This window comes from Homo sapiens, chromosome 8 (assembly GCF_000001405.40).
Source record: "Homo sapiens chromosome 8, GRCh38.p14 Primary Assembly".
Taxonomy (NCBI): Eukaryota; Metazoa; Chordata; class Mammalia; order Primates; family Hominidae; genus Homo; species Homo sapiens.
This window is the reverse complement of record NC_000008.11, coordinates 93,510,680-93,533,441: the sequence shown is the minus strand read 5'-3', so window position 1 is coordinate 93,533,441 and position 22,762 is coordinate 93,510,680. Positions and strand designations below refer to the sequence as shown.

The window sequence follows — 22,762 nt, the reverse complement described above, 5'->3', positions numbered from 1 at the left end:
CCATTGCCCAGGGCCAAACGTGTTTCTAAGTGGAAAATGCTTAGCAGTTTGTTTTAAGTCAGATTCTATTAAGCAGACCCTAAGACTAATATTTGCATGTAAATGCTTTGTTATGGAAGTGTCCCGAGAAGAAGGGGCATGGGAGAAGCTGGACAGGGAAGAAAAGGAAGCCAAGCAGTAAGATCTCAGGCAGAGTCCCTTGGAGGGTAGCTTTGACTGATCTACAGAACTCTGGGGTGTCAATTGTACAGTAGTTGTGTGTCATTTGAGATAACTTACTGCAAAATGTTTTATTAGGCAATTCTGTTGTGTGACAGTCACAGTGAACTTATAAAAACCTAGATGGCATAGCCTTCTACACGCCTGGGCTATAGGGTAGCCTATTGCTCCTAGGCTGCAAACCTGTGCAGCATGTTACTGTATTGAGTACTGTAGGTAACTGTAACACAATGGTAAGTATTCATGTATTGAAACAGAAAAGATACAGTAAAATATGGTATAAAAGATAAAAAAATACAACTGTATGGGGCAGCTTCATTATAATCTTATGCAACCACCTTCATATATGCCATCTGTCATTGACTGAAATATCTTTATGTGGCACATGACTATACTCTCTAATTTTCCCACCTCAGACAGGGAAGTTGGAGTTGGGCTTTCATGCTCTTGCACTCAATAGTCACATTGTTTGACAATGATTCCCTGTTGGGGGAGCTGGAATGTAAAGCCTCAACACTTTTGGCTCTCTGACTATGAGGGGCAAAGCCACTCCAGTGCCATGAGGGTTGTTCATCAAAGAACACATACACATGCTGGATGTGAGCACACAGAACCTAGAGAAGGGGCACCCAGGAACAGCAGGAAGGGCATGAGGGGGTTTTGGGTGGAGTAATGACCTTGTCTGCTGAATAGGTCCATTGCCATCATCCTGATCAATCCGGTCTTGGTGCCGTGCTCCAATATTCATAGTGGGTTCTGACAGGAGACTTTTGAACATTGGCCATACAAGTTGTAGTAGTCTGTTCTCACACTGCTATAAAGAAGTACCCAAGACTGGGTAATTTACAAAGAAAAGAGGTTTAGTTGGCCCATGGTTCTGCAGGCTGTGCAGGAAGCATGATGTTGGCAACTGCTCAGCTTCTGGGGACACCTCAGGAAACTTACAATCATGGCAAAGGCCAAGGGGGAGCAGGCAGTTCACATGGCAAAAGCAGGAGCAAGAGAGAGAGCAAGAGGGGGAGCTGCTACACACTTAAACAACCAGATCTCATGAGAACTCACTCACTATCACAAGTACAGCACCTAGGGGATAGTGCTAAATTATCTGTGAGAAATCCACCTGGATAATCCAATCACTTCCCCCAGGCCCCACCTTCAACATTGGGGATTACAATTCGACATAAGATTTGGGCAGGGACACAGATCCAAACCATATCACAAGTATCCTGTCTCTACCATAGTAGAACTTGTAAGCTATTTAATTTTGTATTGGACTGCATTCCAATGAGCCTGTCTGGATGAATTAGTTGCAAAATGCTCCATTAGATAATGAAATGAGTTTATCTTTTCTAAGAGGTGCCCTGCATTTGCTATCTAAATGCTGAAGAGTGTTTGCCAAAAGCAGCAATCCTGGTATTGGTCTAATTGATATTGAGCTGTTCCTCATGGTAGTAATTGCCCAACAAGCATAGTTGCTCCTTAGGCCACTCTCAGAATGAAAATAGAAATGTGACATTAGCATAAAGGAGGATGCTATGACAGGAGGTCATGCATCCAAATTATCAAAAGATGTATCTAATGGTCTGGGTGGAAATTAAGGAGTAGGTGGGCTTGGACATTTGTATCATTTGGGACTGCAGTCTGCTCTGTCAAGAGCTCATTTCCTATCCATTTTGATCCCTTTTTGGTATTACAGTAAAGGCTCCAAAGGACTGTTAAAAGCCAGGAATCAATATCGAGATCATGCAACTTGGCCCATAAATAGCTTCTGTCTATAAAATCAAAGGCTGACAATACAGTAATAAATCCTGCAAGTCTCAAATTATTTCTGAACATTTTTTATAATAAACAAAATAGAGTGTAGTAATAGTCCACAATAGAAAAGCCATCTCTAAAGCATTTGTGCTCTTTCTGTAGGAAATTATATTGAGAAATCCAGATGTGCAGTTGTGCAAGAGCAAGCTGGTGTGGATTTTTGAATGGATATTCTGAAGACAACTAGGTGGTAAGAAAGGACAGAAGGCTGCCCTTCTTTACTAACACTCTATTTTGTAGAAATTATAGTGTAGGTGATTGAGTCAATAATTTTGCATGAGTTGGCACATAGAATTTAGAATAGGATTTGTGGTGGGAAAACTCTTGCTGCTGTAGTTGAACGTAAAGTCATTATTTGAATGAAATCTAATGAGTTGAGGCACTGGGTTTGAATTAGAGAAAGTTTCAGGATGTTTAAAGCATGACATGAAAGTAACAGTTCTAAAGATAAGAAAGAACAAGCACCAATTATTGAATTAATGACAACAGCATGGTCAGGCAGGCAGGTATTGAGATCTGCGTGCTGTAGGCTACAGAAAGGCAACCCAATGAAGGAAAGAATGAGAGAGAGAGAAAGAGAGAGAGAGAGAGAAGGTTCTTAGAGAATGCACAAGGTAAAATCAGGGAAACTCAGTTCAGTCATCAAGTCTAAGACAAGGAGAAAGTACAAGGCTGAAAAACAAACAAACAAAAGCAAGAACCAGGAGACAGACATCTAAGAACTCTAATATTATTATATCATAGTTCAAAAAGATCTTGATAGATGCTAAGTAGCCATTTGTATTCCCTTCTAATAAGGACTAATAACCCTTAGTTAAACTATAAGTAGACTATACTTCCTTAACATGATAAAGAATGTCTGAAACTAATAGCCAAGCTTATGTTTAAGGGGAAATACTTAAGATGTTCTCATCAAATTTAAAAAGTCAGAGCAAGGTACCTGTTATTAACTAGCGTTTGTCTGAAAGTTATAGTCAACAGAGTAAGTTGAGAAAAAGAAAGGAAGTATAAATGTTGGGACTTGGATGATGTTGCCATGGAAGTTTGCTGCTGGGAGTGTTCTCAAGAGAGAACTTGCTGTTCAGCTGCGCAAAGTGCAGTTAGCTGACGATCTCCTCTTCTAGTAACTTCAGGTTTACCTCAGCTTCCCAGGCAGCTCCTGGCCAATGATGGACCCTTGCTGCTCAACATGGAATTCCTCTAATGGACATTTCCCCTGTCTGGAGCTGCTAAGTGGGTTGGCTGAGACTGGGTTGGGTCTCCATCATAGTTGGAGACCCTCCATGACCAGTTTTTCTTCCTTCCCCTTTTACTTTTCATGGGTGTTAGGCCCATGCACTTTTTGCATCTTAACTCCATTTCAGTGTCTGTTTCTCAGAAGCCCAACTGACAGTTTTGGTAGCGATAGTAGCCCAAGAAAGCAGGAGATATGATAGGGCTTGAGAACTGAACCATTCACTGCTGCCTGGCAAGGATGTGGGACATAGACACTATGTCAAGAAGTAGCAGCCCAACTGCTAAATCTGGTAGAATTGCCTGATTGTTACTAAGTTGCACCGATGTCTTACAGAGGAATAATGAAAAGTTGGAGGCAGTTAACAAACAATTGAATATCGACAGAGGCTTTTTGTGGTTTTCAGACTCTTACTTCTTGCAGTCTGTGAGCAGAATAAGCTGAAGACCAACTCAGGATTTAATAGAGTTGCCAAGCTCCTAAGATGATTGACTAGTCCATGAAAGGGATATATGCAAGGACCAGGAGCCTTGTTGAAAACATGTGGGGCCCTGACACATGAGATGGGGACATCTGGATTGATGCCCCCGAAGATTTTGGCTCCTTAGACTCCACTGACTCCTCAGCATTGCAGTTAGTTCACTCATTCCTTCTAAGAGTGGGCACTCTCTGCAGGTGGGAACACACTGTAGAGACATCTTTCTTACAAAGCAGTAGATTTCCTCCTTAGGATCCATTCTCATCTCTTCTCCTAGCCATAAGGTTGATCATTTTGGTTGAGTTGCAGCAAAGCCCAGCTAGGGACACACTGGGCCTTATAAAGGAGGAAAGGGAGCTACAAGAATTAGCTGACATTAACTGGTAGGAGTGGGGAGAGACTCTAGGGGACTGGATTTGTGGTTGCTTGATCAAGAGGTCTAGAACACGAGACTGGATAAGAGTGAGCTTATTAATGTGGGAACTTTTTCTAAAAGATACAGTATTTAATATCCAGGCAAAGACCTTGAAAGCCTTCTGAAAACAGTGACCAACAGTTTAGATGACCGAATTACTATGACACATAATGGAAGAGGGATTAAAAAACCTATGGAAATGGGCATTTTGGATGAATTCTGCAAGGCCAGAAAGACCATCTAAGAAGTATGTTCCATAGGAGTCCAGGGCATACACCAAGCCCAGGTGAGAGAGGCACCAACATCTCTAAGGTCAGTAGTAGACGACAGGCTGAAAAAGTGAACAATGGCCACTATAAAGAGCTTGAGGAGACAAACCCCAATCTTTGTAGCATTTGTCCCAGAATGGTCAGGACTTAGCCAGTAATGGCCAGCTTCATTATTTTTACCTCTGATTCCAACTCAGGACCAACCAGAAGAAGCCAAATCTGCTCATCAAATCAATCTCATAGGATGCCTCACTTCTAGTTAGCCTGCCTCCAGCTTCCTCATGCCAACAACCTCCAAACAGCATACTTGAAGCCTTCCCTTATTTTTCATTACTAATCTTTTTGCTCCCTTGCCTGCCTTTGAGTCTAGGCCAAACACAAGTGATGGTGACTGACTCCCTTGTAGCAAGCTCTGTTTATTATCATTTGGATGGTCTTCAGCTATTTTTACTTGGCTCTCCTCTGCAGGCAAAGGCTGATGGTAGGAGAGGCTGTTACAATCCTAATAGATACTAATGAGGGCGATGGAGTTATGAAGCTACAGAGGCCAAGGTTAAATGGCAGCCAAGAAGGCTGAACCTAAAGAAAGTTGTGGGGAGATAGTTAAGAGAATATAAATAACAATGCTAAGGGATAAAATAGGAAAAGAGTCAAAGAATGTATTGCCCAATACATATATTTAATCATGAAAAGCAATCATGAGGAAGTGAAAGATCTCTAAAAGGAAAACTACAAAACACTACTGAAAGAAATCATAGATGACACAAACAAATGGAAATACATTTCAATGCTCATGCATGAGAAGAATCAACATTGTGAAAATGACCACACTGCCCAAAGCAATCTATAGATTCAATGCAATTTCTACCAAAATACCATTATTATTTTTCACAGAACTAGAAAAAACAATCCTAAAATTCATATGGAACAAAAATGAGCCCACATGGCCAAAGCAATACTAAGCAAAAAGAGCAAATCTGGAGACTTCATATTATCCAACTTCAAATTATACTACAAGGCTATAGTTACCAAAACAGCATGGTACTGGTATAAAAATAGGCATGTTGACCAATGGAACAAAATAGAGAAACCAGAAATAAAACCAAATACTTACGGCCAACTGATCTTCAACAAAGAATGGGAAAACATAAATTGGAGAAAGAACACCCTATTTAATCAATGGTGCTGGGAAAACTAGCAAGCCACATGTAAAGAATAAAAATGGATCCCCATCTCTCACCTTATACATAGATCAACTCAAGATGGAACAAAGACTTTAATCTAAGACCTGAAACCATAAAAATTCTAGAATATAGCACCAGAAAAACTCTTTTGGACATTGGCTTAGGCAAAGAATTCATGACTAAGACCCCAAAAGCAAATGCAACAAAAACAAAAATAAATAAATGGGACCTAATTAACCTAAAAGGCTTCTGCACTGCAAAAGAAATAATCGGCAGAGCAAACAGACAACCCACAGGTGGGAGAAAATATAAGCAAACTATGCATCTGACAAATAACTAATATCCAGAATCTACAAGGAACTCAACAAAAAAACAAATAATTTTATCAAAAAGTGGGCAAAGGAAATAAATAGACATTTCTCAAAAGAAGATGTACAAATAGCCAATAAACATGTGAAAAAATGCTCAACATCACTAATCATCAGGGACAAGCAAATTAAAACCACAGTGAGATATCACCTTACTCCTGCAAGAATGGCCGTAATTAAAAAGTCAAAAAACGATAGATGCTGATGTGGATGTGGTAAAAAAGGAACACTTTTACACTGCTGGTGGGAATGCAAATTAGTACAACCACTGTGGAAAACAGCATGGGAATTTCTTTCTTTTTTTTGTTTTTCTTTCCCTGAGATGGAGTCTTGCTCTATCACTGAGGTTGGAGTGCAGTGGTGCGATCTTGGCTCACTGCAACCTCCGCCTCCCAAATTCAGGCGATTCTCCTGCCTCAGCCTCTCAAGTAGCTGGGATTACAGGTGTGCTCCACCGCACCCAGCTAATTTGTTTTTATTTTTAGTAGAGACGGGGTTTCACCTTGTTGGCCCAGGCTGATGTTGAACTCCTGACCTCAGGTGATCCACCTGCTTCGGCCTCCCAAAGTGCTGGGATTACAGGCTTAAGCCACCACGCTCAGCTGGAAATTTCTTAAAGAACTAAAAGTACAACTACCATTCAACACAGCAATCCAACTACTGGGTATCTACCCAATGGAAAAGAAGTTGTTATATGAAAAAGACACATGTACACACATGATTATAGCAGCACAGTTCACAATTGCAAAGATATGAAACTAACCTAAGTGCCCATCAACCAATGAGTAGATAAAGAAAATGTGGTATATATATGCCATGGAATACTACTCAGCCATAAAAAGGAATGAAATAATGTTTTTTTGTGCAACTTAAATGGAGCTGGAGGCCATTATCATAAATGAAGTAACTCATTCAAAATGAACTCTATTCCAAATGAAGTAACTATTTGGAATAGAAAACCAAATATTGCATGTTCTCACTTATAAGTGGGAGCTAAGCTATGAGGATGTAAAAGCATAAGAATGAGGTAATGAACGTTGGGAGCTTGAAGCGGGGGAAGGTTGGGAGGGGGTGAGGGATAAAAGTCTACATATTGGGTACAGTGTGCACTGCTCGGGTGATGGATGCACTAAAATCTCAGATATCACCATTAAAGAACTTATCATGTAACCCCAAACCACCTGTACCCCCAAAACCATTGAAATAATAAAAAAAGAAAGGCAATCATGGAAGAGTAGAAAAAGGAGGGCAGTCATCGCAATAAAAAGTCATGATCTATTTTTGTAGTTATTGAACCTGAGTCAGTTTTCAGCCTCAGACTTAAGTGCCTGAAGGGGTGTCTGGTTTCCAGTGAGAAGGATTCTGCATCATCATGGCAGGTACATACAGTAATAATTCTTCCAGCCCTTCCACAACAGGACCTATGGCTATTTACTTGGGTGGTTATATAATGGACTAACTGAACTCACTGAATTTTACCACAGCCTCACTGGGTGGTCTTTTTCCCACCTCCTAAATATATAATTTGAATTGACAAACTTGGAAATTGGGTATTTTAGCCTGTGGAGTAAAGCTATGATCATGGGGAGGGCCAAGAAGAAGCCTTTGAAACTGCCTGCTCACATCTCTAGCTGCGATAATAAATAAAAAGCAATAGCACACCATGGGAAGAAAGGTGAAAGTTAGTGCCCCCTTAAGGATCTCAAGAATGTAGTAGTGATGGTCCCCAACATACCTTTATTTAATTAACCAGTCTAGTTTCTGCAGAAACTGGATAGATCCTGGAGAATGATTAGAGACTAACACAGACCCAACCAAGTCATAGCCTTGATTGTGGTAACTGTGGCAAAATGAATCTAGCTTGCTAGAGTGCATTAATATGCCTTTGTTACTCAGTATGTAGCCATTGATTTGGTGATAAGGCTCTTTTCTTTCCCTATCAGGGAAGAGGCTGCAAACAGTTTACATGCATATACAAAGATGAAAAGCAATATACACTTGCAGTTTTGCCTCAGGGGTATTTTAGGTTGTCTGTCCTGTGCGTTAATGTAGTCTGAAAAGATATAGACTGCTGGGACATCCTGCAGAATATCCACTGACTTACTACACCAGTGACATCATGCTGGTCAGGCAGTATGTGCAAGAGAGGTTAGTTAGCACACTGGAGGCCCTTGGTGCTCAGTCTAGAAGGTGGTAGATAAATTCTACAAAGACTTAAGAACATGAAACTTTGGGAACATTGTTACGGGTCCAGTGGTCCCAAGGGCAGGCTGGGACATCTCCAAAGTATAAGGTAACTTGCGTCATCTTCCATGCACTGCTACAAAGAAGGAAGTACATGTCTGTTAGGTTTTCTCAGGTACCAGAGGTTCACATTCCACATCTAGGATTACTGCTCTAGCCCATAAATCACAAGACCCAAGAGGCTGTCAGTTTTGAGAGGGGTGTGGAACAGGAAAGGGCTCTGCAGCAGATTCAGATGGTGGCATAAGCAGCTCTGTCATATGGGCATGTAATCCGCAGACCTAAATGATCATGCATCTGGAACTGCTTTTATGAGTTGGGTTCTGTTGACCCATCATGCCATACAATTGGATGAGCACAGCAGCAATCCATCATAAGGTAGAAATGGTGTAGCCAAGATCACGGCCAGAGGGCATAAGTAGCCCAGACCCCATGTCACTCATCATGGTTTCACCCAACCCATCCCTTAACTCAAACATGGCTATATGGTGGGAAGACAAGGTGGGAAGAGAGCCAAAGGAGAAAGAAAATCCCTGAGGTTGGTTTTTGGATGCGTTGGCTTGGAATTTGAGCCCAAGCTGAAAATAGATGGCAGTAGCAATACAGCCACATGCAGGGGAGGCCTTGGAAATTAATGCTGAGAAAAAAAAATCTTCCCATAGTAGAGCTTTGAACAATGTACTTGGTTATCTACTTTGTGAGGAATAAAAACTAGCCTGAGGTGAGAATATATACAAACTTCTGGGCAATGATGAATGGCCTGACCAACTGGTCAAGGACCTGGAAGGAAAAAGATTGGAAGATCAGGTATAAGATCTGGGGTAGAAGTATGTGGTGGAAAAGATGGAAGTTGGCATGAAATGTGATTTTTGTATCACATGTTAATTAATCCTTACCCATATGCATATACCATTGAAGTGGCATTGAAACCAACAAGTAGACAAAGTGACTGAGACAGTTGACATTAGCCAGCTTTTGTCACTGGCCACTTCAGAACTGCACACTGGGCCCATGAATGAAGAGGCCACAGAGGCAGAGATGAAGGTTACACATGTACATGCATACAGGCAGCTGAGACCAGCTACATGGTGGCAAGTTGACTTCACTGGAGTCTTTTTGTTTTGGAAGCACTAGTGATTTGCTCTAACAGGAATAAATACTTATTCTAGATATGAGTTTGCCTTTCTTGCCTACAGAACCTCAGCCAGGACCAATATCTGGAGGCTTTCTGATCCTTAGCATTTTACTATTTTCTTTCTTTCTTTCTTGTAGATTGGGTCTTGCTTTGTTGCTCAGGCTGGACTTGAATGGGCTTAAGTGATAGTGCTGGCTCAGCCTCCCGAGTTTCTGGGACTACGGGCATATGCCAGTGCGCCTGGCCTGATCCATAGCATTTGTGCAATGAAGGAAATGGGAGAATGCAATTGTTATCATGGGATCTACTGGTTGTATCACACACTACACCATCCAGAAGCTGCTACCCTAATTGAGCACTGGAATAGCCTGTTGAAGATGCAGCTAAAGTGCCACTTTGGGGACAATACTCTTTAAGTGTGGGGTTCCTTGATTAGAAACATAAGGGAAGAGTCAGGTTGCTATTTAACTGTAGACTAGACTGTTGACATTCTCAGGGCTGTAACTTCATTACCACGCCTCTGGAATATGGCTTCCTTATACAGTGTAATAAAGTATACCTTAAAATTCAGTGACCTCCCATTCAGTGATAAAAGAACAGCAAAGCTAAACTGAGATACTAATGTTAGTGCCTTCATGCTTCACCAGAGTGCTCCTCCCTGCCACCTGATTGTAAAACCCTTCTCTCCTGTTATTGGTCTAGGTGAGATCATGCTACAGTATACACAGTTCAAATTAACACACAAACAACATTACAAATGATGATGTGTTTTGGAACTTTAGGGTCACTCAGAAGTGCTCAAAACCATAAATGTTCTATTTGCTGAAGTTTAGACCCCACTGAATTGTGATTGCAAATTCTTTTGATTAAACGGTAGCCTTTTCAATTGCATAGGTTTCTCTAGTCATAGCAATCTTCCAGCTCAGGTCTCTCATGCATTCCATTTGGAGGAATCATTTCCCATCTTTGCATTCATGTCTCTTGTAATATTATGTCTTTTAGAGGATAAAATAAATTTATGTGATGCAAATAATAGCAAGTTGGGACAATGTATTTCATACATATAAATGTAATTTGATGGTGCGACACGTGTCTACCGCATGCTCAGTCCATCTTGTTCGGAAGCAGAACCATTCATTGTGTGATAAGAAGTCCCATCTCCAGTATTCATTTGGATCCTAAGGTTATTAGAAATGCATTCTTTTTTCCAAAATGATTGCCTTGTTTTGAACCCAGCTGTGCGTAAGTTATTTATTAATCCCAAACCCAGAAGGAAACACTTATCTTTACATACGTGGTTATTTTGTTGGAAATAGAATCAATATCAGATGGTTTTTAAAGAAAATGATTATATTCTTAAAGAAATCTGTAAGAGTGTGATCTGCAAAGAGACATTAAGACTACTTAAGGAAAATGATGTATTAGCTCACTAAATTAGCATGAAAATGGCTTACCTTACCTCTTACCTTTTTAGAAAGGTGCTGTTAAACAACCATGGTATATTTTATTTGTTATTATTCAATGCTAAGTATTTTTGTTGGGCTCTCAAAATAGTTTAAAAATTTCCAATTGTACTATTCCTCTGCAAAGAGAACAGTCAGTGAAATAAACAATTCCATAAATATGCTTCCACCAAAGATAGACAACATGCACAAGAAGCCACAGAATTTGTCTTGGTGGAACTCACTATTGGGTTAAAGTAGGACTCTTGTTCATTAATAACTATTTCAGAACTAACTATGGAATATAGAAAATGGTATACTTAGGGATTAATGTCAAATGCCAATGAGGAGCCACAGGACCCTAGAGCAAAGAAAAGTTACAAAGCCTCATTTTCTGTGGAGTCAAGAAGAAGGAAAAGGGAGACAACCTCAGACCATGTTGGTGGTGGGAAAGAACATAAGACACTTCTCAAGATGACTGAGTGATCAATTGCTTTCTGGTTTGAGATGGGGGAGATAAGTCCTCTATCCAGAAATGTTGCCTTCCAAGGGGACTTTCTTGACAGAGAGGGCCAGGTAGTCCCAAGGAAATCTGCTTGGCTCTGGGGAGCATCATCCACTTTCTACAAGCTGACTAACTGAGCACCAACCATTTGCTAGGTACCCTGCTAGGTGCTGTGAGGGTTACAAAGATAAATAAAGGGTAAATTAACTTTTTCGTGTGTTTCTACTTTGTGTCAAGCCCTTGTTAGGAATTCTGTGAAATAAGCTTTACAGTTGCCATTTTTACACATAGGAAAGTGGGGGTTTGGAGAGGTTAAGTAGTGTGCTCCAATCACACAACCAGTAGATGATAACCATATGATCCACTTCACAGGGTTGTTGTTAAGTCCTTGGTGCAAAGTGGAAGCTCAAAAAAAATTTTCTTCCAGGGAGTTATTTTATCTTAATACTGCTTTCAAGCGGTATCTTCCATTTGCCACCTGATTATAACACATTCATCTTAGTGATGGTCTAGAGTTTTAAAATTATGCATTAGTTTCTGCTGCTATGAAAATCTGTAAGCTTTTTGGAGATCTGAGACTATGACTTATACTGAAAGGTAAACTTTCACTGCTCCACAATTTGCCTCCTTGCTCATCAGACATTGCTTAGCGAAGACCTAGGTTTTACTCTTTAGCTGAAGTGCTCATTCATTCATCAGTGAGAATCACTGATGGCAAAAATCAGAATTTTACTTTAGATCAGTATGCTTTAAAAATGACTTTCAAATTTCTGTCTAAAATCTACAGATGTATTTTTCACTGGGCACTGCATATGTGTGCCTACATACACTTCAGTCAAAGGTTTCATGAATCAATACTTACCTTAGTGTCAACGATGAACTCTGATTTGTGCTATTCTATTTTATTCTCCCATTCCATTCCACCCCCATCCCATTAAATGTTTTCCACAATTCATTAAATTGATTTAATAACCCACTAATGGATCATGGTCCACCTTTTGAAAAAACATTTCTTTAAGATATTTAAAGTTTGGGGCACATATGATTTTATTATTTATTTTTATTTTTATTTTTATTTTTGAGATGGAGTCTCGCTCCGTCACCCAGGCTGCAGTGCAGTGGCGTGATCTCAGCTCACTGCAAACTCTGCCTCCCAAGTTCACGCCATTCTCCTGCCTCAGCCTCCCGAGTGGCTGGGACTACAGGCGCCCGCTACCACGCCTGGCTAATTTTTTTTTTGTATTTTTAGTAGAGATGGGGTTTCACCGGGTTAGCTGGGATGGTCTCGATCTCCTGACCTCGTGATCTGCCCCCCTCGTCCTCCCAAAGTGCTGGGATTATAGGGGTGAACCACCACGCCCGGACTTTTTTAAAATTATACTTTCAGTTCTGGAGTACATGTGCAGAATGTGCAGGTTTGTTACATAGGTATACATGTGCCATGGTGGTTTGCTGCACCCATCAACCCATCATCTACATTGAGTATTTCTCCTAATGCTATCCCTCCCCTCTCCCTCCGCCCCCCAACAGGCCCCAGTGTGTGATGTTCCCCTCCCTGTGTCCATGTGTTCTCATTGTTCAGCTCCCACTTATGAGTGAGAACATGGCAGTGTTTGGTTTTCTGTTCTTGTGTTAGTTTGCTGAGAATGATGGTTTCCAGCTTCATCCATCTCCCTGCACAGGACATGAACTCATCATTTTTTGTGGCTGCATAGTATTCCATGGTGCATATGTGCCACATTTTCTTTATCCAGTCTATCATTGATTGGCATTTGGGTTGGTTCCAAGTCTTTGCTATTGTGAACAGTGCCACAATAAACATACGTGTGCATGTGTCTTTATAGTAGAATGATTTATAATCCTCTGGGTATATACCCAGTAATGGGGTTGCTGGGTCAAATGGTATTTCTAGTTCTACATCCTTGAGGAATCACCACACTGTCTTCCACAATGGTTGAACTAATTTACACCCCCACCAACAGTGTAAAAGCATTCCTATTTCTCCACAGCCTCTCCAGCATCTGTTGTTTCCTTGCTTTTTAATGATCACCATTTTAAATGGCGTGAGATGGTATCTCATTGTAGTTTTGATAGGCATGGGCAAAGACTTCATGACTAAAACACAAAAACCAATGGCAACAAAAGCCAAAACTGACAAATGGGATCTAATTAAATTAAAGAGCTTCTGCACAGCAAAAGCAACTATCCTCAGAGTGAACAGACAACCTACAGAATGGGAGAAAATTTTTGCAATCTATCCATCTGACAAAGGTCTAATATCCAGAATGTACAAGGAAGTTAAACAAATTTACAAGAAAAAAACAATCCCATGAAAAAGTGGTCAAAGGATATGAACACCCACTTCTCAAAAGAAGACATTTATGCAGCCAACAAACATATGAAAAAATGCTCATCATCCCTGGGCACAGATGAATTTTGAACCTCCTATAATGCCTAGCATGGTACTAAAATAAAACCTGGGTAATCTTTTGCAGCAGATTGCAAAAATTGCCCCCATTTTTTACCCCCTCCCCATATCCATATTCTTTGCTGTCTAACTTTATAGTGTATACCTATCTTAATGTTAGCCTAGGCCACATGCCTTGCTTTGGCTGATGGGAGGTTGGTAAACATAATACAATCAGAAAAGAAAAGTGTATGTATGCCTGGGCTTGTTTGCTTTCTGCCTTGGTTATGAGAACGAGCCCTGACTTGTTACTAGAGACACATGGATCAGAGCTGAATCGCTTTAGATATCCCAGCTGAGGCTATCTGAGATTAGACCACAGCCAGCCAACACTCACATGTGAGTGAGCCCAGCCAAGATAAGCAGAGGCATCTAGCCATCTAGCCAACCATTCCAGACATGTGAGAAATAAACATTTATTGTTAAATGCCACTAAGGATTTTTGGTTTGTTACACATTATTACTGTGGCAGTAGATAACACACACCTGGCAGTACTCAGTCATATACTGTTCATGTTTGAGTGCATGATGTTTGCCTATGTAACTTGAAGTCTAGCAGAATCAATTAAGGACTCCCCCATCCTGCCTCACTCTTACTTAAGCACCAAAATGTATCCAGCTGGTTGATTGGAGTCAGCTGGTTCCAGGTTTTTCCACTTGAAAAAACAAACAGCAGTTCTCAAATCTTAGTGTCCATCAGATCATGTGATCTTCTGAATCGGAACCTAAGTTAAAAAGTGTGAGAACTGTTGATTTAGTAAATTCTTTGCCATCTTGGACTTGGAAGTGAAAGAATTAATTGATCAAGACGAATGAGTGAAATGCAAATAGTTTGCTTATGCAATATATTTAGGCATATTTATCTTATATACAATGAGTGATAACATATATAACACACGTTTCTTTGCTTAACTGTTAGTCTTCCCACATTAGGTGATTAAAAGTAAAACCTCATCTTTGGTTCTATTGTTTTAGTGCATGATCTCTCCAAAGGTTTTCCCTGTTTTGGCTGATGGAACACCTTCGAGTGGTGGTAACATGCTTAGGTCTGTGTTGTACCCAAAGGCTGCAGAGACTCCTTTTGCTTTTAACAAAACTCAATTTCTAGTGTGCAAAACGTTTTCCCTTTGTTGCTGTTTATTTCTGTTTTGCATCTTTCTCTTTCTGCTTGTATTTTCCAATTGTCAAATTTCATTAACCTTTGCTGTACTTGATTTCTTGGTGTTGGACAAATGTGGGGACACCTTGAAAATCAAGTACTTTCTTTTTGATCATCTAATCATGAGGATAGTCCTTAGTATACCTGCTTTCCTCAGAAGACTTCCCCTGGCTGTGTGGAGATTGTTCACAACCTTGAAAAGACCCCATATTGGCCTCTGAATATAGGGCCATTGATATTGTTAACATGTAAGAAGATTATAGAGCAGTAATGTTAAAATAGAATGAAGTATACTACATATGCATATTTTAAAAAGGGCATACTACTTTATATAGTTTGGATGCCTGACCCCTGCAAATCCCATGTTTAAATGTGATCTCCAATGTTGGAGGTAGGGCATAGTGGGAGGTGTTTTAGTCATGGGGGTGGATCCTTCATGAATGGTTTGGTGCCCTCTAGGTGGTAATGAGTGAGTTCCTGCTCTATTATTTACCACCAGATCTGATTGTTAAAAAGAGCCTGGCCCTTCCTCCCTCTCTTGCTCCCTCTCTCTCTATGTGACAAACATGCCTCGCCTTTGCCTTCTGCTATGATTGTAAGCTTTCTAAGGCCTCACCAGACACAGATGCTGACACCATGCTTCTTGTTAAAGTCTGCAGAACCATAAGCCAAAAGTAAACTTTTTCCTTATAAGTTACTCAGTCTCAGGTATTCCTTCACAGCAATGCAAAATGGACTAATATACCAGTGTTAGGAATTTGATGGTTATTTTAAGTTAAAGGAGCATGACTGCTTATCCTTTTCATCTGTTCTTTCACATTTTCCAGCTTTTTGTTTTAGGACTTCTCTCCCAATTACTCTTGTCCTTATTGGCATAACTCATTTATCACTCCCTCAAGTAGGTATGAATATTCTTCATTCTTCCCTTGTAAAACTTAGACAACTTGGGGTCTTCAAAAGAAGATAGTGCTCACTGCTCTGGAAAATCTGAAATAGATGGGACTATCTGGATATGTTATTTGTCATGGATATCATCAAGAAAGTATAATGACCAAAAAAAGGGTTATTAAAAGACACATGAACCGCCACCTCTCCCTCTGATATCAGAATGATCTCTAAGCCTGAGCCAGAGTGCATAGCTTTAAAACAGCCAGAGTAGTCTCATTATCTTTCACTACAGAAGTCTTCATATAGTTGCTTTACTTATTATTAACCAAATTGAGTTTTGTCTTTCTAAGTTTGCCTGGGACCCCAAAAAGGCCAGGCCTTCTAGAGGGAGGGGCCCCAACACCCTAACAGATATTCCTGGTCACCCCATCTTTCAGGTGCACCAAGCATAGATGTCTTTATCAGTCAGGTCCCAATGACAGAACCAGACTGACTTTCATCTTCACATCTTTTTTTGTTTCCTCTGACTCTTGAGTATTAATGAAATGTCTGGCTTGTGAACTCTGGGATATCAATAAGCCCTTTAGCCCAGTGGCTTTCAATCTCTGCTGCACTTTGGAATCACTTGAGGCACTTTGAAAAATCCAGATGCCCAGGCCACACCATTATTAATTATATCAGGGTCTCTGGGATCTCAGGCATTAATGCTTTTGTCAAACTCTTGGAGTAGTTCAGCATGAAGAAAAGTTGAGAGCCATTGCTCTAATCAGTTTCTCACAGCTCATTCTAAGTTCTGTACTTTCAGTAAATTGGGATGTACCAAGTTTTATGCCTCTATGGTTTGGGGGTAGAAAGTACAAGATTATATACATTGTGCCAATAACAAGACTATCTTAAAATCTTCTTTTTCTTCTCTACTTTTCCTGTTTGTAAAAAAAAAATCTATTTTTTCCTTCAGGGCTGTTAGTCAAAGAATAAAGTAGTTCTGCTTTAAATGTAAAGCATGGGGCTTATGTTCAAACCACTGCTACCCCAGCAGAAAGTCTTGAAACCATTAAGTCTTTCAAACCTAGCATATGGTATGAGGTAAACATATAATTGTTAAATTAAATTGAAACATGCATGTTTCTCCTTCACTCATAACAAGCACATTATCCCACTGCGTCCCTACATTTCTGAATCTCAGGTAATTCTGACTTGCCTGGACTAAACAGGATCCTTTCATCTTGTAGATGTCTAGCTCCAAGTACTCACAGCCATGATGTTTAATCTTCTATGAATTCTTAAGCTCTAAGGAGATTTTCAAGATAAACACAATGTTATTTTGGCAGGCAGTTGTATGTTTGTGGGTGGGGGATGATACATGCCCCTATATTTCTCTTTAACATGGAAGGAGCTTGGTTTATTTTGCTCCTATTTTATTCCCTTAGGAGCCAGAAAGAATACTCAAGAGGCAAAGGGATTTTATTTCACTCTGAGAGGTAACAGTGATAGAAACTTGGAAATGAAAGCAAGTGTGCATAGGTATGTAGGTCATGAATTTTGAAAGTCCGAAGTACTTCTGGTTTATTCATCTAAAATGAAAGTATTCTTCAACCATCAAAATCATGTTTATGGCTTATTTGGGAAAATTTATCTTAAAACCAGATATAGATTTTGGAAGGAAACCAGAATCCTGGACAGTTAAATTCACTTGGGGTCAAAGGCAAAATTGCTGGAAGATTAAATTTTTCTTATTAAGCCTGCAATATTCAGATTTGGGGAATACAGAAGAAATAACTTAAAATATCTTCCTGGAAGTAACTGTATATCATCAACTTTAGATGAAAAAGCTAGGAATTTTATTTGAAAGGATAATTACTCCTCTCTCTAGAGTTTGCTTAAATAAATTCAAGGACCAAATTTACAGCTTCTATCATGTGCTGTTAAATTTTTTTTTTTTTTTTGCAGAATTTGTTAAAGCTGGAATACTTATTAAATTTCTGCTTGTTCGTTCATTTGGGACATGCTTATTGAATGCCTACTATATACCAGGTTCTGTCAGGTCCTGGAAGTACAGTGATGGACAAAAGATGGTCCCTGTCCTCATGGAACGTACAGTTTAGAAAAGAAGAATGTCATTGAACAAATAAGGGACCCATGAAGTGATTTAATGCCAGTTGTGGTAAGCACAACAAGAGGAAAATTACAGTGTGCAATGGAAATCATTAATATGGGAAGTGCCTTATCTTGGGGTTTAGGATGGTTTTCCTGAGGAAATGACATTTCAGCTGGCACTAGTGGGATTAGCAGGTGTTAACTCACATGTTATTTGCTAGGGTACATTTTAATCAAATCACTGGAAGCTGTTATTTGTAGAGGAACCAGTTCTGTGTGACCAGTAGCCTCGGAACTTGTGTAAAATTTAATCTAGGATATCAGTAACTCTGTATATCCATAGAAGCCAAAGGTTAACAGCCAAAGTGGCAGGAATAACTCAAAATATTATATTCATTCACTCAATAAATATTTGCACTGGCAGTACAGCAGTGAATAAACAGAAATCCCTGTCCTCATGGAGGTTGCCTGATAGCAGAACAGAGAGCCGTAAACAAGATAAATAAGTACAATATATAGCATGTTATTGATAACTGCTCTGGAGGAAAAATAATGCAGATAGGGAGTTAGGAAGTGGTGGTGGTTTCAAACTTACCATAGCTTCCTTTAGCATAATGCTCTTGGAAGAAAATGTACTCCGATTCTACTCACAGACCAGGATTGCAGTTGGCTGGGGCTGGTACCATATTTGAAAGTTCATTGGAATTCTTCAGAGCTGTCATCCCTAAATTATTGTGAGGAGGCACTAATGTCATTTTCCTCACGACTTGTGATTTGTAGACTTCAGAGAAGGAAAAGTGCTGGCAGAGACATCCTTGACTGCAGCTAAGTGAGAGGCTCATCTGTTGGCTGAGGGCCTTTGTGTGTCTGCAGAGGCAGGGGAGTACAGTGTGATACGGTGGAGGGAGCTGGGCCTCGGCCCGACAGATCTGGAGTCAGACCCGGGCTCTGATTCATAAGCTGTATGATCCCTGGGAAACTAATACATCTCTCTGATCCTTAGTTTCCTTATTTGCAAAATAAATGGCTTGGACCAGATCTCTCAAACTCTTTCAAACCTAAAGACATCCTAAGCTGAAAGGCTTAGGATTGCTTCTTGGAACCTTTGAAAGCACCTTGTGTACACTACCTTGCCTGCATTCATTCGTAGCCCTTCTCCTGGGAAGGTAAATATATTGTAATTATATTAACAACATTTTAATAACAATAATCAACAATTGTGTGTTACTAGTTATGTGCTAGGTATATTTCTCAGCCTCTCACCTATAGTCCTCACAACAATCTTACAGGGTGAATATTATTCCCATTTCACAAATGACAAATTCAGAGAGGTTAGTTAACTTGCGCAAGGTTTCCCAGGTAGTAAGGGATAGAATTAGAAATAAAATTCAGGCAGTTCACGTCATTTTGAAAACACACATCCCACTAATAAAATAATTTTGAGCACTCATCCCAATATATTTATTGATTTAAAATTATATGTATATATTAATGAAATAACAGTATATACATTATAAAGCCTGCATAAAATAGAAACAAATTATCGGTCAAAGATGAAATAAATTTTAGTTTTATTAACAGCACAAAAAGTTTTTGCTTTCATAAATATGATCAAATATGCTGCTTTTTTTTTTTTTTTGAGACAGAGTCTCTCTCTGTCGCCCAGGCTGGAGTGCAGTGGCTTAATCTCAGCTCCCTTAAAGCTCCGCCTCCTGGGTTCACGCCATTCTCCTTCCTCAGCCTCCTGAGTAGCTGGGACTACAGACGCCTGCCACCATGCCCGGCTAATTTTTTTATTTTTAGTAGAGACAGGGTTTCACCGTGTTAGCCAGGATGGTCTCGATCTCTTGACATCATGATCTGTCCGCCTCGGACTCCCAAAGTGCTGGGAATACAGGCGTGAGCCACCGCACTGGGCCTATATTTTGTTTTGAATTGTGGACTACAGTATGTGATTCAGCTCTTCAAAGATCTATTTCTAAGTTCTTAGTTGAAAAAAATACCTGTGAAGATACTTGGATCTTTATGGAAGAAGTACACCATGAGCTGCCCTTAATTATGATATGTGTTTTGTCAATCATCCACTGTTTATATAAAGGAGTTTTAAATTATTATTGTTGAAAATTCCTATCATTGCTGATTTGATTAGTTGTTCCTGCAAACTCCTTGGAAGGGGGTGCATTTTTATATTTTAACAGGTGAGATTAAAACCAACTAATATGTTATTCTGAGGGTGTTGAAGCTGGTTAGAATATTGTTTCTACCTTTTTTCTTTTTTGGTATAAAGGTTTTAGAGGAAATATCCCTCCTTAGCTTAGTTTTCCCAGAAAGCAGAACCTGAGTTTTATTTATTGACTTTCATATTAAACTTATATTAATTTTTAAGTTCAAGGGTACATGTGCAGAATGTTGTTGCATAGGTAAATGTGTGCCATGGTGGTTTGCTACACAGAACATCCCATTACTCAGGTATTAAGCCCAGCATCCATTAGCTATTCTTCCTGATGCTCTCCCTCCTCCCTTCCCACCCTCTGACGGGCCCCAGTGTGTGTTGCTCCCCCTGATGTGTCCATGTGTTCTCATCATTCAGCTCCCACTTATAAGTGAGAACTCATGGTATTTAATTTTCTCTTCTTGCATTAGTTTGCTAAGGATAATGGCCTGTAGCTCCATTCATGTCCCTGCAAAGAACATGATCTCATTCCTTTTTTATGGCTGCATAATATTCCATGGTGGATATGTACCACATTTATCCAATTTATCACTGATGGGCATTTAGGTTGATCCCATGTCTTTGCTATTGTGAATAGTGCTGCAGTGAACATACATGTGCATGTATCTTTATGACAGAATGATTTACATTCATTTGGGTATATACCCAGTAATGGGATTGCTATGTCAAATGGTATTTCTGCCTCTAGGTTTTTGAGGAATCGTCACACTGTCTTCTACAACAGTTGAACTAATTTACACTCCCACCAACAGTGTAAAAGGGTTCCTTTTTGGCCACAACTTCACCAGCACCTGTTTTTTTTGTTTTGTTTTGTTTTTTGGTGGTTGTTTTTTTAAGATGGAGTCTTGCTCTTGTTGCCCAGGCTGGAGTGCAACGGCATGATTTCGGCTCACTGCAACCTCCGCCTCCTGGGTTCAAGCGATTCTCCTGCCTCAGTCTCCTGAGTAGCTGGGATTACAGGCGCCCACCACCATGCTCAGTTCATTTATGTATTTTTAGTAGAGACAGGGTTTCACCATGTTGGTCAGGCTGGTCTCAAATTCCTGACCTCAGGTGATCCACCTGTCTCAGCCTCTCAAAGTGCTGGGATTACAGGTATGAGCCACCGCACCTGGCTGGTGTGAGATGGTATCTCATTGTGGTTTTGATTTACATTTCTGTAATGATCAATGATGTGGAGCTTTTTTTCATATGTTTGTTGGCTGCATGTATGTCTTCTTTTGAGAAGTGTCTGTTCATGTCCTTAACCCACTTTTTAGTGGGGGTGTTTGTTTTTTTCTTGTAAATGTTTTTAAGTTCCTTATGGATTCTGGATATTAGACCTTTGTCAGATGGATAGATTGCAAAATTTTACTCCCATTCTGTAGGTTGTCTGTTTACTCTGTTGATAGTTTTTTTTTTTTTTTTTTTTTTTTTTTTTTTTTTTTTTTGCTGTGCAGAAGCTCTTTAGTTTAATTAGAGCCCATTTGTCAATTTTTGCTTTTGTTGCAATTGCTTTTGGGATCTTCATCATGAAATCTTTGCCTGTGCCTGTGTCCTGATGGAAGAGAACAGATAAGCAGAAATAGGACCACACACCTACAACCATCTGATCTTTGACAAACCTGACAAAAACAAGCAATGGGGAAAGGATTCCCTATTTAATAAATTGTGTTGGGAGAACTGGCTAGCCATATGCAGAAAATTGAAAATAGACCCCTTCCTTACACCATTTACAAAAATCAACTCAAGATGGATTAAATACTTAAATGTCAAACCCCAAACTATAAAAACCCTAGAAGAAAACCTAGACAATACTATTCAGGACTGAGTTCTATTTAGAAGTGTACAATCCTGTTGAGGATGTGTTATGAAGTTGGCCACTATCTCATATAGAACATGACTGTTTGATATTGAGAGATGACCTTCCTACAGGCTGTAAACAATTGCTTTTCAGGACAGTCTCTTTGGGGAAAGGAATCTTCTCTAGTTCCCATCCTCCACTGTTCAAACCTTCATTCCATTTTTGGGTTGTACTTATGTGGATACTCATGGGGGCATCCTGTAGTCTTTCACTCTCCAAGTCAGCAGGAAAGACCTGGGGGTGGGAGGCAAGAAAGAGACATCTCAAACAGGTACGAGGCAGGGAGCTGTCAGCTTTTGCCTGCTTGAAGGAGATTAGAGCCCATGCACACACAGGGGCTGCACAGGAGAGAGGTGGGGCAGAAAGAGTTGAAGTGATACTGGAAAGACACACTTAAATGATGTCTATGGCAACAGAAATGTTTTCATAGTCACATAACTATGCAAACATTTTTACATAGCCATTTTCAAAATACTCTCTCCTAAGCACTTTTAAAAAACATTTGCATTTTATTGTTAAAACATCATCTATATCTACCTAGGTACAGTGAACTGCAGCATGCTGCAATATATCAAAGTAAAATGGAAAGGTGGGGGGCTCCACTGTGAAATGCTTAAGGGAGTAAACCTTCCCTTCTCCCAGGATGCTCACAGACTGTATTTGAGTGCTCAGCAACTAGACTAATTCATGCGCCAGGATCAACCTGTATATTAAATATTGGCATAACAATATTGGTATTAACTTGTATCTATTAGTCCATTCTCACA

General features: G+C 39.9%; 1 long non-coding RNA gene across 1 annotated transcript in view; it reads left to right on the top strand.

The window, feature by feature from the left end:
• Positions 1-22,762, top strand: part of CIBAR1-DT (CIBAR1 divergent transcript) — a 353,967-nt gene that overhangs the window by 166,992 nt on the left and 164,213 nt on the right. The window contains exon 7 of the long non-coding RNA NR_033858.1: positions 2,137-2,224. This is a non-coding gene — a long non-coding RNA (CIBAR1 divergent transcript). The remainder of the gene's footprint in view (positions 1-2,136; positions 2,225-22,762) is intronic.